At 39.8% G+C, this 19,169-nt stretch overlaps 1 protein-coding gene across 20 annotated transcripts in view; it reads left to right on the top strand.

Moving 5' to 3' along the window:
• ELOC (elongin C) overlaps positions 1–19,169 on the top strand; it is a 27,169-nt gene extending 8,000 nt beyond the window's left edge. For 18 of the 20 annotated variants that reach the window (NM_001204857.2, NM_001204860.2, XM_047422158.1 and 15 more), the window contains 3 exons: positions 4,470–4,523; positions 8,234–8,377; positions 17,468–19,169. In NM_001204857.2, the coding sequence (NP_001191786.1) occupies positions 4,520–4,523; positions 8,234–8,377; positions 17,468–17,658 (339 nt within the window). In that variant the 5' untranslated portion in view covers positions 4,470–4,519 and the 3' untranslated portion in view covers positions 17,659–19,169. The remainder of the gene's footprint in view (positions 1–4,469; positions 4,524–8,233; positions 8,378–17,467) is intronic. The other 2 variants (NM_001204864.2, NM_001204863.2) reach the window with 1 other exon arrangement.

Raw genomic sequence — 19,169 nt, 5'->3', positions numbered from 1 at the left:
GATTCAGGAAATCTGTGCTTATCTTTTTTTTTTTTTTTTTTGGCCATTTATAAGTTGATATGAAACAACTGTAGCCCACCAAAATATAAACTACAGAGAACCATCATTCACTATCCAGGGACCACTTAACATACTGTGATTACCTGTTGCAATCCACACTACTATATGTAATACTTTTTTTTTTTTTTTTTTTTGAGACGGAATTTCACTCTTATCGCCCAGGCTGGAGTGCAGTGGCGCAGTCTTGGCTCACTGCAACCTCCGCCTCCTGGGTTCAAGCCATTCTCCTGCCTCAGCCTCCCGAGTAGCTGGGATTACAGGCACCCACTACTACACCCAGCTAATTATTGTATTTTTCGTGGAGACGGGGTTTCACCATGTTGGTCAGGCTAGTCTCGAACTCCTGACCTCAGGTGATCCACCCCCTTCGGCCTCCCAAAGTGCTGGGATTATAGGCGTGAGCCATCACACCCAGCCCCATCAAGCATTTTTATACCTGTCTAAGCTAGTTGTATTCTTTTTTCTGCTATTTTTCCAGAGTTCATGGATTTTTATGGATATTTTACATTTGGCTCTTTAATCTGTAGTGTATTTTTGTGAGTGATCTGTTCTAACCTTATTTTATCCAAGTAAATAGCCAATGTAAAAAGACAAAAAGATATGAAGAACAGATTTTGCAGCAGTGTCTGTTATCTACTTAGGTAATTCAAGTAAGTCAACTGAAAAACTATTAAAACTTATATGAGTTCTGCAAAAAAAATGACGGGATGCAAAATCAACTTAGGACATTTTAAAGCTTTTAACAACACGAGCAATAGCCTTTCAGAAAATATCATAGTAAAACAGACCCCATTCATAATGGAAACTTAAAAGTACCTAAAAGTAGACCTAACAAGAAACATGTGAGAACAAAATGGAGACTTACCCAACTATTCCTGTACAGAATATAGTCTAGAATTTCATGTAGCAATATAGAATATGATAAAGGTAATATTTCAAATCAAAGGATAAGCTATTCAAATATCTTATAAATATTCACTGATACTAGATTCAACACTTAATTTCAGTGTAGGCCCTAGGCTCACCTAGATTTTTTAAGTATTTGTTATTAAACACAAACATACACAAAAAAACTTTAAGAGATTAATATTTATATGTAACACCTTAAAAGCATAATGACGTCTCAGGCCATTGTTCATGCTCTTTCTTCTGCCTAGAACTATTCTCAATCCAGCGGTTCCCCTACGAGTGGCTTTTACCTGCCCAATTCATATTTCCAGAATTCAGCTCTGTGATGGAATACATGTTCAAGCTGAAATTTTTGTCTCCTCAAACTTATATTTCTTTAGATAACTTATGGATTGGGTCCAAACTGAATCATATTTTAAATATTTCTAACTTCTACCTAAGAATTAGGAATTTTAACTCTTAATGTTGATTTTCCCTTTCAAAGGTGGGAGAAAGGGTGGGTCTCCTCTTCTCTCCTTAATCTCTGTTGTATAAAATGATGGAATTGATTTACTACATTAACTCTGTAGAGAAACTGTTGCTACCCAAAGGGCTCCTAAGATGTGACTTTGCATTGTTGCTTAGCTACTGCTAGTTAGATAAACATCCTAAATGTTTTATTCTAGGGATTTTCCAGATAAAAGAGTTGGCCCTTGAAATTCTTGTACTTCAAGCTTTCTCGCATTTGTTTTGTTTTTTTTTTTGTTTTGTTTTTTAAAAGAGTATTTACAAAGCAGTATAATGAAAAGAAAATAATAATGGCTCTCATGAATTTTTAAATTGCGTAGTATCATAAAATGACAGTACTATTTTTAAATTTTAGAGAACTATTTGAGGATTTACATCAGTAGCTGTTGGGAATTGTGGCAATTAAGTTTAACTGGAGCCAGAATTTTTTACTGTGGTAGTAGGCAATAATGGAAGGAGTGGAATGTGGGCTGTGAAGTCAGACCTACCTAGGTTTAAATCCTAACGCTGCCACTTAAGCTGTAGAAGCCTTCAACAAGTAGCAGACTCTTCCAGTGTTTCTCATCTCTAAAATCAGAATAATTCCCTTGTGGAAGAGTTGTTTTTAAATAAGATAGGCCAGGCACAGTGGCTCACACCTGTACTCCCAGCACTTTGGGAGGCTGAGTTGGGTGGATCACTTGAGGTCAGGAGCTCAAGACCAGCCTGGCCAACATGGTGAAACCCCGTCTCTACTGAAAATACAAAAATTAGCTGGACATGGTCCCATGCACCTGTAGTCCCAGCTACTCGGGAGGCTGAGGCACAAGAATCGTTTGAACCTGGAAGGCAGAGGTTGCAGTGAGCCAAGATCACGCCACTGCACTCCAGCCTGGGCCAAAGAGTGAGACTCTGTCTCAAAAAATAAATAAACAAGATAATGTATGTAAGGCATTTAGTACAGTGTTTACCGCTTCTTAGGCCTGCAAAAGGCTCATCAGATTTAATTGTTAGTGCTGCCTATTTTCTCTGCTTTATCTCAAATTAGAAATGGTACTTTGGGAGGCTGAGGCAAGTGGATCACCTGAGGTCAGGAGTTCGAGACCAGCCTGGCCAACATGGCGAAACCTGGTCTCTACTAAAATACAAAAATTAGCCAGGCACGGTGACAGACGCCTGTAATCCCAGCTACTGGGGAGGCTGAGGCGGGCAAATCATTTGAACCTGGGAGGCAGAGGTTGCTGTGAGCTGAGATCGTGCTTCTGCACTCCAGCCTGGGCAATAGAGCAAGACTGCCTCTCAAAAAAAAAAAAAGAGAGAGTGATGGTACTTTGAATATCTGTCTCCATGCCTAGCAAGTGTTCTAGACTAAGATTTGATTTCTGCTCCTGCTCTGTCGCTACCTGAAACAAATTATTTATCCTCTCTACATGGATGACATTATTTAAACCTGAGGCATTAGAGAGGTTACTTGCAAGTTCCTTTTCTGCGTTGAAGTGTTATGGTTCATTTTCTTGACCCTTCTCTTAAGGCCAGAACTAAAATTTGTCAGGAATTTCTTAGAGCATGATAGTTAGGAAATGCTTTTTTCCTGTTAATGACGTAAAAAAGAGTATCAGTATAAATGAGATCCCCTGAATAAATGCTGTAGTATGTTACTAAAATACAGTTACTGAGAAAGTGAAACCATTTCCTTTAGCAATCATCTTGTTATTTTGTCAAATTTATAATTTCTCAAAAACTTGTACATTTTTAACCACTTTATTGTTAAATTTCAAAACTTAGCCTGTATATGGAAGAGATGGAAGCATAAAAATATGTATGTGTACTTATCTAAGTAAAGAGCAAGACTTCTCTTTTTTCTTATTTATTTATTTATTTATTTTAGAGATAGGATCTCACTGTGTTGTCCAGGCTGGTCTCAGTCTCCTGGGTTCAGGCAGTACTCCTGCCTCAGCCATCCAAAGTGCTGGGATTACAGGTGTGAGCCACTGCACCCAGCCCTGTCTTTTTTATTCTCATGGAAGTTACTTCATGTCCTTGGTTATATCATGCCATTCATTCAAGCAAATATTTGCTTATTGTCTACCACTGTGTACTAAATACAAGATCCAGAACTTGCTGTGTCCTCACTGTTTTAAGTCAGTATGCATCATCCTTCCAGCATGTGTACCATAGCAAGGTGTACAGAGCATTGCTAACCTCAAAAGCTCACTTGAGCTTTGGTGTCCAGGGATTTTCTTGGGGTTTCATTCTGTAGACATGATTGATGAGTCATAAGCAACAAGGCTGAGCTGAGTCTTCAGCACCCCTCCAACTGGAGGTCATGTTGATATCAAAAAAGGCACCTCAAAGCTTTTTGTCCTGAGTCCTTTTGTTAGTTTAAACTATCCAAAGGCCCATTATGAGTTACCTGGTTAACATAAACTACCAGGACCCATGAAGAATAGCAAGGACTTGTATCACTAGGGAAATTCCAAGGATTTAGAGGCCACCTCTCAAAACGAGGATCAAAAACCAGCCAAATTCTTTATTATACAACAGGACCCATAGTTTTGTTTGGATTTTCAACGGAGGCCTTTATCCAGAAAAAGAATAAAGGACCTCTGCCTTAAAACACCTCAGTATGGCAGTTTTTTCTCGATAATTATGTTCCGTGTATGTATTTTAATGGAATGAACATTTTTACACGTCTGTTACTTTTAACATGTCACATTTTACAACCTCTTCAACAACCCCACCCCCAATCAATTTATAATGATTATATGTTATGTTTCTATTTTAAGTAATCTTTCTCTGATTCAGAAGTGCCAACTGATCAAGCTCACAAAGCATTTTGGTATTCTTCAATTGATTTTATAAAAGTACAGTGTTTTTGTTGTAGGAATGGTGAGCTCGTAATGTAACCAGGAGGGAGAGTTCTTAAACTTTTAACACCAAGGACATTAAATAACAGTGAATGAAAACTTGTCTCTTGCAACATTAATCTTAATATGATATTGTTATATTTTCAGGAAACTACTAAAGTTCCTGGGGAAGCAAAGTAGAATTTCATAAGAACAAAATGGGTAAGCTAAAGATAATTAATTTTGTGTTTTAACTAGTAGAAACTGGACTTTGTTTCAAAGATCTTTAAAATTCAGTGAACACAAGTAAAATTTCAGTAGACTGAAATTAGTTGTCCACATCAACAGCTTATGTTTACTACACAGTCATGCCCTACATAATGATTTTTCGGTCAGTGTTGGACCACATGTGTGACATGGTTTCATAAAGATTATAATAGAGCTGAAAAATTCCTGTGGCCTACGGTGACATCTTGATGATCTTGTCCTTGTATAGGCCTAGGCTAATGTGTGATTGTATCTTAGTTTTTAACAAAAAAATTTAAAAAGAACAAAAATTACAATTTTTTAAAATAGAAAAAAGCATATAGAATAAGGATATAAAGAAAAATAGTGCTGGGTGCAGTGGCTCACGCTTATAGTCCAGCTGCCTGGGAGGCTGAGACCAGAGAGTTGCTTGAATGAGCCCAGGAGTTCGAGGCAGAAATAAGCTATGATTGCACGACTGCGCTCCAGCCTGGGCAACAGGTAAATTTACTGTAGCCTAAGTGTACAGTACTTATGAAGTCTGTAGTAGTATAGTAATGCATTAGGCCTTCACATTCACTCACCACTCACTTACCAACTCACACAGAGCAATTTCCAGTCCTGCAGACTCCATTCATCGTGAGTGCCCTATACAGGTATACCTTTTTAACTCTTTTATGCTATATTTCTACTGTACCTTTTCTATGTTTAGATACACAAATACTTACCCTCATGTTACAGTTGCTTATAGTATTCATACAGTAACATACCGTACAGGTTTGTAGCCTAGGAGCAGTAGGTTACACCATATAGCCTAGGTGTAAATACACTCTAGATTTAGTAAGTACACTCTTAGGATGTTTGCATCATGATAAGATTGCCTAATGATGCATTTCTTGTCTTGGAAGGTATCTCCATCGTTAAGCAATGCATGACTATATATTCCCGACAGGCAGATCAGTAATAATATCGTGCTAACCCCAATTTGTGATTTTTAGTGAGTAATTTTACCTTAAGAAATTTGAAACTCTCCTGACAAACATACAATGTTTTCTGTTGCCAAAAATATTAGAAGCATAAATTGAAATAATAACCATTTTTATTTTTCTTTTTTGAGGTTGGCAAAAACTGCTAAAAATCTATATGCTTGAATAGTCTGTAATTTAGAAGCTACTTACATCTTTATGGCTCCTCCCGCTTTTTATGAAAAATTAGACAAAAAAAGATACTAACATAGCTTTCACCAGATTGTTAATGTTTTACCAAATTTGCTTTCGTGTGTGTGTATGTGTGTGTGTTCATATTGTAGAGTTGGCAAAACTCCATTCTAGTCTTCTTAGGGTCCTGGCTGGGTCTGAGAATTAAATCAATGTAACATAGATGAACATTTATTACATAACATAAGATGATGACATAACATAGATGAATATTTATTACAAGTTTTACATGGAACAGAAGCCATTTTTTAAAAAACAAAGACCAAAGCCAGGCATGGTGGTGCACGCCTATTTCCCAGCTACTTTGGAGGCTGAGGCCAAAGGATCTCGAACCCAGGAGTTGCAGGTTACTGTGAGCCATGATTGCGCCACTGCACTCCAGCCTGGGTAACAGAGCAAGGCCCTGTCTCTTAAAAAAAAAAAAAAAAAAACCATAAATAAATAAGTAGTCCGGGTGCAGCGGCTCATGCCTGTAATCCCAGCACTTTGGGAGGCCAAGGCAGGTGGATCACTTGAGGTCAGGAGTTCGAGACATCCTGACCAACATGGTGAAACCCCATCTCTACTAAATACAAAAATTAGCCAGCCGTGGTGGTGGGCGCCTGTAATCCCAGCTGCTCGGGAGGCTGAGGCAGGAGAACCTCTTGAACCTGGGAGGTGGAAGTTGCAGTGAGCCGAGATTGTGCCACTGTACTCCACAACAAAAGTGAGACTCCATCTCAAAAAATAAAAATAAATAAACAAATAGTTGGGTGGGTGGATGGATGGATGGATAAAAATTTTAAATGATCATAATGCATTAACTTGTCTCTTTAGTCTCCTTTAAATAGTTTTCTACTTCAAAGACTATTCCTCAATTTTAATTTGTCTGGTTGTTTTCTTGTGATTTGATTCAAATTAAACATTTTTGGCAGTGGGAGCACATGAGTGATTTTGATACTAATTTTAATTTTAGAGATTTCTGAATTAATTGTTTAACAAATGGATATTTGTGGCTGAACAGTACTTCAGCTTCATCCTTTCTAGGGCTTCCTGAGTTTTTAGAATAAACCTTAAGCTATTTTATTTCACATGTTAATAATTATAAAAATTAAAATTCTGTTACAGTACAAAATTGTAAAAATTAAGGAGATTTTTACTTGCATATGTAACTTTTACTCTATATATATCTGGCTACTGTGACTGAAGCCAGTACAGCAGCAATGGCAGTAGCAGAGTAACATCTGTGCACTCTGTCTCCTCATGTCAGCTTTGGGTTTTTTTAAAGACCAATATTTTGTCCATATTAATTACTTTTAATGCATGCATTTAAACCGAGTATTGTTTAAATGCATACTTTTTTTTTTTTTTTGAGACAGGGTCTTTCTCTGTTTCCCAGGCTGGAGTGCAGTGGCGCAGTCTCGGCTCACTGCAAGCTCCGCCTCCTGTGTTCATGCCATTCTCCTGCCTCAGCCTCCTGAGTAGCTGGGACTACAGGCACCCGCCACCACGCCCAGCTAATTTTTTTTGTATTTTTAGTAGAGACGGGGTTTCACCGTGTTAGCCAGGATGGTCTCGATCTCCACTGTGTTAGCCAGGATGGTCTCGATCTCCTGACGTCGTGATCCACCCGCCTTGGCCTCCCAAAGTGCTGGGATGTGAGCCACCGCCCCCAGCCTAAATACATACTTGATCATTATTTTTAACCATCAAGTGTGAAATGCTGAGTAAAAGAAGTCTTAACTTTTAGAACTTAGGACTTGTCAAAGGAAGTCGAGCTCTCATGGCATATAAACACTGATTTATAAATCTGCTATGCATCTTATTTCTAAAAATGAGTATTTCAGGTGATAGAATTAAAGTCATACTATTTAAATATTTGTCTTAGTCTTCAAATTTGAATGGGCTGCTTTGGTTACAAAACAACTGTTAACACCTCCTTGAAAAAACTAGTGAATTTTCACTGAAGTAGCATTCTTAAATCTACAGTTTATTCTGATAATGGAAGATGTTGATAGAGAAGTATAAAACAAGGAGTTAAAAACTGTTAATGTCTTGGTGACTATTATAATACCTTCCAGAAATGTTTCTGGTATGAGTTCTTCAAATATTAACCTTGTTAATAAATCTGTTTATTTTTTATTTTTATTTATTTTTTTTGAGATGGAGCTTTGCTCTGTCATCCAGGCTGGACTACAGTGGCGTGATCTCGGCTCACTGCAGCCTCCACCTCCGAGGTTCAAGTGATTCTCCTGCCTCAGCCTCCCGAGTAGCTGAGATTACATGTGTGCGCCACCACACACAGCTAATTTTTGTATTTTTAGTAGAGACGGGCTTGTTTGACCAGGCTGGTCTTGAACTCCTGACCTCAGGTGATTGGCCTGCCAAAGTGCTGGGATTACAGGCGTGAGCCACTGCGCCCAGCCAAACCTGTTTAGTTTTAGTACACTGTGTGACTCAAAAATTGTTTCACTACTTACTTTACTTTAGATGGAGAGGAGAAAACCTATGGTGGCTGTGAAGGACCTGATGCCATGTATGTCAAATTGATATCATCTGATGGCCATGAATTTATTGTAAAAAGAGAACATGCATTAACATCAGGCACGATAAAAGCCATGTTGAGTGGCCCAGGTAAGCACAGTTCTGTCTTTTTCTTCATATATTCACTTTTAATGTTTGATGGATGTTTTTAAGTTGAATTAATGATTCAGCATTTAAAGAGAAAATAAGTCTTCTAACATTGTTGTATGATTATGTTTTTGTTCTTTTGTTTGAGAGAGACAGAGTCTCATTCTGTTGCCCAGGCTGGAGTGCAATGGTGCGGTCTCAGCTCACTGCAATCTCCGCCTGCTGGGTTCAGGCAATTCTCCTGCCTCAGAGTAGCTGGAATTACAGGTGTGTACCACCACCCCTGGCTAATTTTTTTTTTTTTTTTTGAGACAGAGTCTTGCTCTGTTGCCCAGGCTGGAGTGCAATGGCACAATCTTGGCTCACTGCAACCTCCACCTCCCGGGTTCAAGCGATTCTCCTGCCTCAGCCTCCTGAGTATCTGGGATTACAAGTGCCTGCCACCACGCCTGGCTAATTTTTGTATTTTTAGTAGAGACGGGGTTTCCCTATGTTGGCCAGGCTGGTCTCGAACTCCTGACCTCAAGTGATCCACCCACCTCAGCCTCCCAAAGTGCTGGGATTACAAGAGTGAGCCACCACGCCCAGGTTTAACTTTTGTATTTTTAGTAGAGATGGGGTTTCACCATGTTGGCCAGGCTGGTCTTGAACTCCTGACCTCAGGTGATCCGCCTGCCTCAGCTTCGCAAAGTGCGGGGATTACAGGCATGAGCCTTTTGCATGCCTGGCCTTTTGCATGATTATGTTGCATTGGGGAAAAAAAATTGATTTCTGCCATGTTCTGTTTTCAGTTATTTATCCTATAAGTTTCAACAAGACTGAATTGGTTTTCCTACATTAGGTTCCATAGTCAGCCTTTTTTTTTTTTTTTTTTTTTTCCGAGATGGAGTCTCACTCTGTCACCCAGGCTGGAGTGCAATGGTGCCATCTCGGCTCACTGCAACCTCCGCCTTCCAGGTTCAAGAGATTCTTCTGCCTCAGCCTCCCGAGTAGCTGGGATTACAGGCACCTACCACCACGCCTGGCTAATTTTTTGTATTTTTAGTAGAGACGGGGTTTTCACCATATTGGTCGGACTGGTCTTGATCTCCTGACCTCAGGCAGTGCACCCGCCTCAGCCTCCCAAAGTGCAGGGATTATAGGTGTGAGCCACTGCGCCCGGCCCATAGTCAGCCTTTTAACCACAGACTGGTGATTTGTGTTCCTAGCTAGATAAAACAAGTTGCTACCTTCCAAATCTCTATTCTTTTTTTTTTTTTTTTGAGACGGAGTCTTGCTCTGCCGCCCAGGCTGGAGTGCAGTGGCACGATCTCGGCTCACTGCAACCTTCGCCTCCCGGGTTCAAGTGATTCTCATGCCTCAGCCTCCCAAGTCTGGGACTACAGGTGCCCACCACACGCCAGGCTAATTTTTTGTACTTTTAGTAGAGACGGGGTTTCACCGTGTTAGCCAGGATGGTCTCGATCTGACCTTGTGATCCGCCTGCCTCAGCCTCCCAAAGTGCTGGGATTACAGGCGTGAGCCACCACACCCAGCGCAAATCTCTATTCTTAAAATTTTTTTCTTGAAGTAAAATTCACATAATGTAAAAGCAGCTGTTTTAAAGTGTACAATTTAGTGGCGTTTACTGCATTCACAGTATTTTGCAGCCATCATCTCTATCTAGTTCCAAAACATTTTATTACTCCAAAAGCAAGCTCCATACTCATTAGCTGTCACTATCCCTTCCCATTCTCTACCCTCAGTGTCTGACTACCACCAGTCTGCTTTCTAATTTACCTATTCTGGCCATTTTGTATAAATTGAATCATACAGTATATGGCCTTTTGTATCTGGCTTTTGTTATTTTTCATGTTTTCAAGGTTCATTTATGTGGTGCATGTACAGCACTTCATTCTTTTTTATGGCTGAATAATATTTCATTCAGCCAGATGTGAATACACCACAATTTGTTTATTCATCAGTTGATAAATATTTGGGTTGTTGACACATTTTGGCTACCATGAATAGTTCTGTGAACACTTGTGTACAAATAATTGTTTGAATACCTGCTTTGAGTTCTTTTGGGTGTCTTCTTAGAAGTGCAGTTGCTTGATCATATGACAATTCTCTTTAACTTTTGGAGGAGCCACAGAACTGTTTCACGGTGGCTGAATTGTTTTACATTTCTACCAACGGTGTCCTAGGGTTCCAGTTTGTATACATCTTGGCCAATATTTGTTATTGTTTTTTGTTTTTTGGTTTTTTTTTTTTGAGACAGAGTTTCACTCTCGTTGCCCAGGCTGCAGTGCAATGGTGCAGTCTTGGTTCACCACAACCTCCACCTCCCAGGTTCAAGCGATTCTCCTGCAGCTGTGATTACAGGCATGCGCCCCCACGCCCAGCTAATTTTGTATTTTAGTGGAGACGGGGTTTCTCCATGTTGGTCAGGCTGGTCTCGAATTCCCGGCCTCAGGTGACCCGCCCGCCTCAGCCTCCCAAAGTGCTGGGATTACAAGCGTGAGCCACTGTGCCTGGCCACTCTTTTTTTTATCACTGCTATCTTAATGGGTGTGAAATGGTTATCTGGTGGGTTTTAGGTGGTTTGTTTGGTGATGGTGGTTGTTTTTTGAGATAGTCTCACTCTGTTACGCAGGCTAGAGTGCAGTGGCACAGTCTCCACTCACCGCAACCTCCACCTCCCAGGTTCAAACGATTCTCATGCCTCAGCCTCCTGAGTACCTGGGGTTATAGGTGCACACCACCATGCCAAACTAATTTTTTGTATTTTTGGTAGAAATGGGATCTCACTGTGTTGGCCAGGCTGGTCTTGAACTCCTGGCTTCAAGTGATCAGCCCACCTCGGCCTCGCAAAGTGCTGGGATTACAGACGTGAGCCAGCACACCCAGCCTATCTGGTGGTTTTGATTTGCATTTCCTTAATGACTAATGATGTTGAACATTATTTAATACACTTCCTAGACATTTTTGTATCTCCTTTGGAGAAATGTCTATTCAAGTCTTTTGCCCATTTTTGAATTGGGTGGTTTGTATTTTTGTTGTTGAATTGTGAGAGTTCCTTATTAATTCTCAGTAGTAGACCCTTATCAGATACATGATTTGCTAATATTTTCTCCCATTCCATAGATTTTTTTTTTTTTTCGAGACACCTGTTGCCCAGGCTGGAGTGCAGTGGCGCAACCTTGGCTTATTGCAAGCTCCACCTCCCAGTTTCATGCCATTCTCCTGCCTCAGCCTCCCGAGTAGCTGGGACCACAGGCGCCCGCCACCACACCCAGCTAATTTTTTTGTATTTTTAGTAGAGACGGGGTTTCACTGTGTTAGCCGGGAAGGTCTTGATCTCCTGACCTCATGATCCGCCCATCTCAGCCTCCCAAAGTGCTGGGATTACAGGCATGAGCCACCGCACCTGGCCAGTCTTTTTTTTTTTTTTAATGGTGTCATTTGAAGCACACTTTTATTTTTATTTATTTATTTTTTAAATTAATTAATATATTTATTTATTTTGAGACAGCGTCTTGCTGTGTCACCCAGGCTGGAGTGCAGTGGCTCAATCTCGGCTCACTGCACCCTCCACCTCACTGCACCCTCAACCGATTCTCCTGTCTCAGCCTCCTGAATAGCTGGGATTACAGGTGCCCACCACCACACCTGGCTAGTTTTTGTGTTTTTAGTGGAGATGGAGTTTCACCGTGTTGGCCAGGCTGGTCTCGAAATCCTAGCCTCAAGTGATCCACTGACCTTGGCCTCCTAAAGTTTTAATTTTGAAGTGTGATTTATTTTTCCTTTGGTTTTTGTGTCATATATAAGAATCTGTTGTCAAATCTAACCCTGTGTTTTCCCTTGTGTTTTCTTATAGGCGTTTTATGGGTTTGGCTCTTAAATTTAGGTCTTTGGTCTTAAGTTAATTTTTGTTTATGCTGTGAAGTAAGAGATCAGCTTCATTCTTTTGCATGTGGCTATCCCACTACCATTTATTGAAGAGACCGTTTCCCCATAGCACCCTTGTTGAAAATCAGTTGACTGTAGATTTGTGTATTTCTGGGCTCTCAATTCTATTCCATTGATCTATATGTCTGTCCTTATGCCAGTACCACACTGTTTTGATTACTGTAGCTTTGTAGTAAGTTTCAAAATCAGAAAGTATGAGGCCTCCAACTTTGTTTTTCTGTTTCAAGATTGTTTGGGCTATTTGGGATCCCTTGCAGCTCTTTCTGGTTTTGTCTGTTGTTTTGTTGTTGTTGTTGTTGTTGTTGTTGTTGTTGTGGGGTTTTTTGTTTGTTTGTTTTTGAGATAGGGTCTTGCTTGTTGCCCAGGCTGGAGTGTAGTGGCACAAGCCTTCCTAGGCTCAAGCAATCCTCCCACCTCAACCTCCTGAGTAGCTGGAACCACAGGCATGCACCTTTTTTTAAATTGTATTTTCTGTAGCGATGTTGCCCAGGTTGGTCTTGAACTCCTGGCCTCAAGCAGTCCTCCCAACTTGGCCTCCCAAAGTGCTGGGGTTACAGGTGTGAGCCACTGTGTGTGGCCACAATTCTTCTATGTTTTTACTATGGAGATTTTAAAACCTACTCAGAAGTAAAGAGAACTGTGTAATACACCTCCATGTGCCCATCATCCAGCTTCAATAGTTATTAACATTTTGCCAGTCTTTCGCTCTATCTCACAGGCTGGAGTGCAGTGGCACAACCTCAGCTCACTGCAACCTCTGCCTCTAGGGTTCAAGCGATTCTCCTCCCTCAGCTTCCTGAGTAGCTGGTATTACAGGCATGCCGCCACCACGCCCAGCTAATTTTAGTATTTTTAGTAGAGATGGGGTTTCACTGTGTTGGTCAGGCTGTTCTTGAACTCCTGACCTCAAGCAATCCACCTGCCTCGGCCTCCCAAAGTGTTGGGATTACAGGCATGAGCCACCATGCCCAGCCCATTTTGCCAATCTTAAGTTGTGTCATTATCCCTACTTTTTTGGAGTATTTCAAGCACATGCCTGATGTTGTGCCATTTCACTTGGAAAATCTGCAATAGTTCCCCTGCACCTTTTCTTTTATTTCCAGGCAGGCCATTAATTTTACAGAGAAGCAAGGTCATTTGTATGCTGTCCATATTTCATATTGAATTACATTTGAGCTTTATTCTGTAAACTCATAGTTAAAATTCCAGAGACTTGATTAGACTCTGATACATTTTTCTAAGCAAAGGATATTTGTAGGTAGCACTCTTGTATTCCTGTTCTATCATGTCTTTTAGCAGTGTCAAGCTTGATCAGTGGGTTCCAGGTTGTCAGGCTGATTCATCCATTAAAAATTCCCCACTATGATTTAGCATTCATTGTGATTATTGTTGAGATTTACTTTGAGATTACAAAACAGTGACTTTCCAATTCTGTAAAATTTTTTGCATTTATTAGCTAAAATTTTCCTATAAGATATTATTTGGTTACATTGAAATACAGTCTATATGGGAAAGATGATAAAGACTTGATTTTTTTCCTTTTAAATATAATTTTTCAGAGTAATGAATTGGTTCTTCAGCATCATCTAATAGTAAAGAGTGTTTTGTTTTTGTTTTTGAGTGAATGTCATCATGAATTCATGACTATATTTCATGTTTTTCAGTCTGTTGCAGTCATTCTTACTGGTGCTCAGATTGTTCCATTTGCTTCATTTTTATGTCAGAAAGAGCCACATTGTGTTAGCTTCTGTGTCCTTTTGACATGGCTCCGTTAGTCTTGAATAGTTATACTACTTTCTGTAATAAGATTTCTTAGGCATGTCATGAACATTGTTCCCCGATCCCGAAAACAGCTGTTTCTCCAAAAATCCCTGTTTTTAGTAGAAAATGGTATTTAGGGGCCCCAATCTGGGTGCTGAAGATACTCATTCCTCCTTGGTTGAATTGTACCCCCCACTCCTCATATACACACACAACATGGCTCTGATGAATCTGATGAATTGCTTTTGGGCTTTTCCACAGGACAATGCAAGGAAGTACTTTAAGGGGAAAAAAAATCACAAATGCCAACAGAATTTTAATTAAAATTAATTTTATTTTATAACAGCAGGCTAGAAACAAAGAGCTTTTGCTTTTTATAAATTTGATCTTTAGTTTAAACACAAGATTTTTATCTTGGAAAGATCAGAAAACATTCAGCCTCAAACTACTGTTTGCATGAAAAGGAGTGAAGTACTGATAGCATGCTACAGTCCGTATGCACCTCGACAGCATGCTAAGTAAAAGAACTCAGACACAAAATGTCACATTTGTATGATTCCATTTTTATGAAATATCCAGAGTAGGTAAATCCATAGAGACGGAAAGCAGATTGGTGTTTGCCAGAGGCTGGGGGGATGGGGAAGATGAGGAGTAACTGCTTAATGGATTATCGGGTTTTAATTTGGGATGATGAAAATGTTTTGGAACTAAATAGAAGGGATAGTTGCACAACATTGTAAATATACTAAATGCCACTGAATTGTACACTTTAAAATGGTTGATTTTATGTTATATAAATCTCACCTTTTAGAAAAATCACTGATGTTTGTCTAGTATCAAAGTCTTAATAAGTGCCTATAGGCAATATTTTCAGGCATGTATTTAAGAAAAGGAGTTCTAGTTATTGGCAAACCAAAATTTACCTCATTGTTGTGAATTATTTGCTGAGTCCCGCAGTACTCCTTTCTCCCTGCTACAGTATACCCCCAACCAACAGATATATAAAAGGCATTTTGTATATATTTTAGTATTTTAAAATACTATATTCTCAAAGTATATTTGTAGATGTGAAATGCCTTTTATATTCAGCATACAGTGCTAGTACTAGACTGCTAAGAAAATATTTTATCTCTATGTGTAAAGGCTAAATGATACAACCTTTGTGTAGCTACAGAAATTTTGAAGAATGACTGAAAAACTGTTTATGAAATGCTGTTAAACAAAGGAAAATGTCTTGTGAAGAGATCTCGTTAACATGATCATATTTTTAAAAAAACTAAAGGAGGAAACAATGGAATTCCTTTCCTGAAATGTTTCTTTTGCTTGCTTGCTTGCTTGCTTGCTTGCTTGCTTGCTTGCTTGCTTGTGAGTGACAGGGTCTCTGTCTTGCCCAGGCTGGAGTACAGTGGCGCCATCATGGCGCACTGCAGCCTTGAACTCCCGGGCTCAAGCAGTCCTCCCACCTGAGCCTCCCCAGTAGCTGAGACTACAAGTAGGTCTCCCAAAGTGCTGTGATTACAGGCATGAGCCACCATGCTCAGCCCATTTCTTTTAAGTAGTATTTTTCTTATTATTTTAGGTAAACAGTTAAATAGTTTAAATAGGTTTTTTGTTTGTTTTGTTTTATCTTTTAAGACGGAGTCTTGCTCTGTCACCCAGGTTGGAGTGCAGTGGTATGATATCAGCTCACTGCAACTTCCACCTCCTGGATTCAGGTGATTTTATATATTCACTAATTCTCAGAAAAGCCAAATCAGAAAACCTGTTATTTGCCCTGACTTTATTTTTACATGGCAATTCAGTACAACACAGGGATCCTAATGATCCATAAAGACTTGATTGCCTGGATTGATCTTTTTTAAAAATGATTTTACTTTTTCATCCTGCTCGCCAATCATACCACCAAGATTGTTAGGAAAAGCTACTTAAGTTTCCAACCCACAGGGAGAGAATTAGAATTTTAAAATTCAGTCTTGATGAATCTCAAGTACTATCTTTTTTTTTTTTTTGAGACGGAGTTTCGTTCTTGTCGCCCAGGCTGGAGTGCAATGGCACAATCTTGGCTCACTGCAACCTCTGCCTCCTGGGTTCAAGAAATTCTCCTGCCTCAGCCTCCCGAGTACCTGGGATTACTGGCACTCACCACCACGGCCAGCTAATTTTGTATTTTTAGTACAGATGGGGTTTCACTATGTTAGTCAGGCTGCTCTCGAACTCTTGACCTCAAATGATCGCCCACCTCAGCCTCCCAAAGTGCTGGGATTACAGGCATGAGCCACCCCGCCCGGCCCTCAAGTACTATTTTAGTAAAGGTTTTTTTTAATGTTGGCCAGGTGCAAGTGGCCAAGCCTGTAATCTTAGCACTTTGGGATTCTGAGGCAGGGGGATCACTTGAGTCCAGTAGTTCAAGACCAGCCTGGGCAACATGGCAAAACTCTGTCTCTACAAAAAATACAAGAATTATCCAGACATGGTGGCGCTCACCTGTGGTCCCAGCTACTCGAGGAGGCTGAGGTGGGAGGATCACTTGAGCCCAGGAGGCAGGGGTTACAGTGAGCCACAACCATGCCACTGCACTCCAGCCTGGGCAACAGATCAAGACTCTATGTCAAAAAAAAGAAAAAAACTTAGGTTAATACTAAAAAAATCAGAATTCCATAATTCATTTGGTGCTAATTGAGGTTATTTTAATGATGATTAGTTTGCTAGGGCTGCCATAACAAAGTACCACCCCTAGATGGCTTGAACAACAGAACTTTATTTTCTCACAATTCTGGAGTGTAGAGGTTGAAAGTAGAGTTGGTCTCTTCTGAGGCTCTCTTTTTGTCTTGTACATGGCCATCTTCTTCCTGTCTTCACACAGTTTTCCCTCTATGCCCATCTCTGTCCGGATCTCTTACGAGAATACCAATCATGGCCGGGCGCGGTGGCTCATGCCTGTAATCCCAGCACTTTGGGAGGCTGAGGTGGGTGGATCATGAGGTCAGGAGTTTGAGACCAGCCTGACCAACATGGTGAAACCCCGTCTCTACTAAAAATACAAAAATTAGCCGGTCGTGGTGCTGCACACCTGTAATCCCAGCTACTCAGGAGGCTGAGGCAGGAAAATCGCTTGAACCTGGGAGGTGGAGGTTGCAGTGAGCTGAGATCCCGCCATTGCACTTCAGCCTGGGTGACAGAGCGCGACTCTGTCTCAAACAAACAAACAAAAAGACACCAATCATATTGGATTGCCACCCTAATGACCTCTTTTAATTACCTCTTTAAAGAACTTATCTCTAAATACAGCCACATTCTGTGGTACAAGGGGTTAAGACTTCAACATATGAATTTGGAGGACACAATTCAGCCAATAACATACATAATTCTTTTGTTTTACAGGTCAGTTTGCTGAGAACGAAACCAATGAGGTCAATTTTAGAGAGATACCTTCACATGTGCTATCGAAAGTATGCATGTATTTTACGTACAAGGTTCGCTACACTAACAGCTCCACCGAGATTCCTGAATTCCCAATTGCACCTGAAATTGCACTGGAACTGCTGATGGCTGCGAACTTCTTAGATTGTTAAATAAAATAAATTATAATAAACTGTTAACTCTTTTCAGTATTTAATACCTGTAGTTCAGTTAGTAACTTTTTCATATATAGCATGTTGCCTGTATGCAGTTGAACTATATAAAGTTCATTGCAAAGCAGATTATCTTGTTTTTTTGCATAGCAATCAAAGTTGAAATTTGTTTGCTACATCAACAAATTAAGGACATTTTCACAAACTGAGAAATAAACAAATATGCCAATTCGTAGGTGGTTTTGCCTTATCCTTTGAATGTGACTTAAAATCAGCAATGATGATATAGTAAATACTGAAATTTAGGTGTAAATCAATACGTTCTACAGGGAAATAATGAGGCTAAGTATTTTTATGTTTTTAGTGGTTTTTTAGAAACCTAATCTTATAGCCGCCATTAGCATTACTAGAGTTATGCAAATAATTGCATTATAAACATGTTTATAACTTAGCCAAAACATTGATTTTTATAACTCTCCAAGTATGAGTTGAAATTTCTTATGTCTTTTGATAAACTGCAGTATTCTTTAAGTGTACTTTGTCCTTTTGTTTATTGCTACAATTTAAGAACTTTATTTAAAAACAATTTTGGAAGGTTACTAGGTACAGCTTTTGCAGAAGAAACTGAACTGTAGCCAGATGGTCAGCAAGTAAACTACATGACTTAGAGTTCTTGTGCATTATACATTTTGGGTAATTCAAAGTACTGTATTTGCATTGACTATAAAGCGTCGTTTGCAATATTTATTCTTCCTTCATAGTCCCTTGTTGTGATTATACTTCCAGTTGTTTAAATGTATTTTAAAAGACTCACTATTAACTTTATTCAGATCTTAAAAGCTACACCTTTTTGAACTATTCCAGTCTTTCTCCATCCAATTAGAATGTTATGGAATAACATGTGAAGAGATACAGTGAAAATCATATTATAATGCATTGAAGATATCCTACATGAATTATCTTCTATTAAAATATGTCCCAATAAATATACCCATAATCAGTGGGTCTTCTACTGAAATCAAGCTCATTCAGCTTTTCTATTAAGCAGCCAAAAAATTTTTTGAAAAAATATGACAGCATCATTCCTTATGCATGGGGAAAGAAGCACTGGAGATGGGTTTAGTATTGTCTTTATCTCAGAGGTGGAACAAAGTTGTCATTATAGGGTCTATAAACTTAAGTCTCCAGCTTATTTGAGACTGGCTTAATATGGCTGAGCCCGGTGGCTCATGCCTGTAATCCCAGCACTTTCAGAGGACGAGGCGGGTAGATCACTTGAGGCCAGGAGTTTGAGACCAGCCTGGCCACCATGGCAAAACCCCATCTCTACCAAAAATGCAAAAATTAGCTAGGCCATGGTGGCACACGCCTGTAATCCCAGCTACTTGTGAGGCTGAGGCATGAGAATCGCTTGAACCTGGGAGGTGGAGGTGGCAGTGAGCCGAGATCGCACCACTGCACTCCAGCCTGGGTGACAGAGCGAGACTGTCTCAAAAAAAAAAAAAAAAAAA

This window comes from Homo sapiens, chromosome 8 (assembly GCF_000001405.40).
Source record: "Homo sapiens chromosome 8, GRCh38.p14 Primary Assembly".
Classification (NCBI taxonomy): domain Eukaryota; kingdom Metazoa; phylum Chordata; class Mammalia; order Primates; family Hominidae; genus Homo; species Homo sapiens.
Note: the sequence above shows the minus strand (reverse complement) of the source record. Positions and strands in the feature narration are given on the sequence as shown.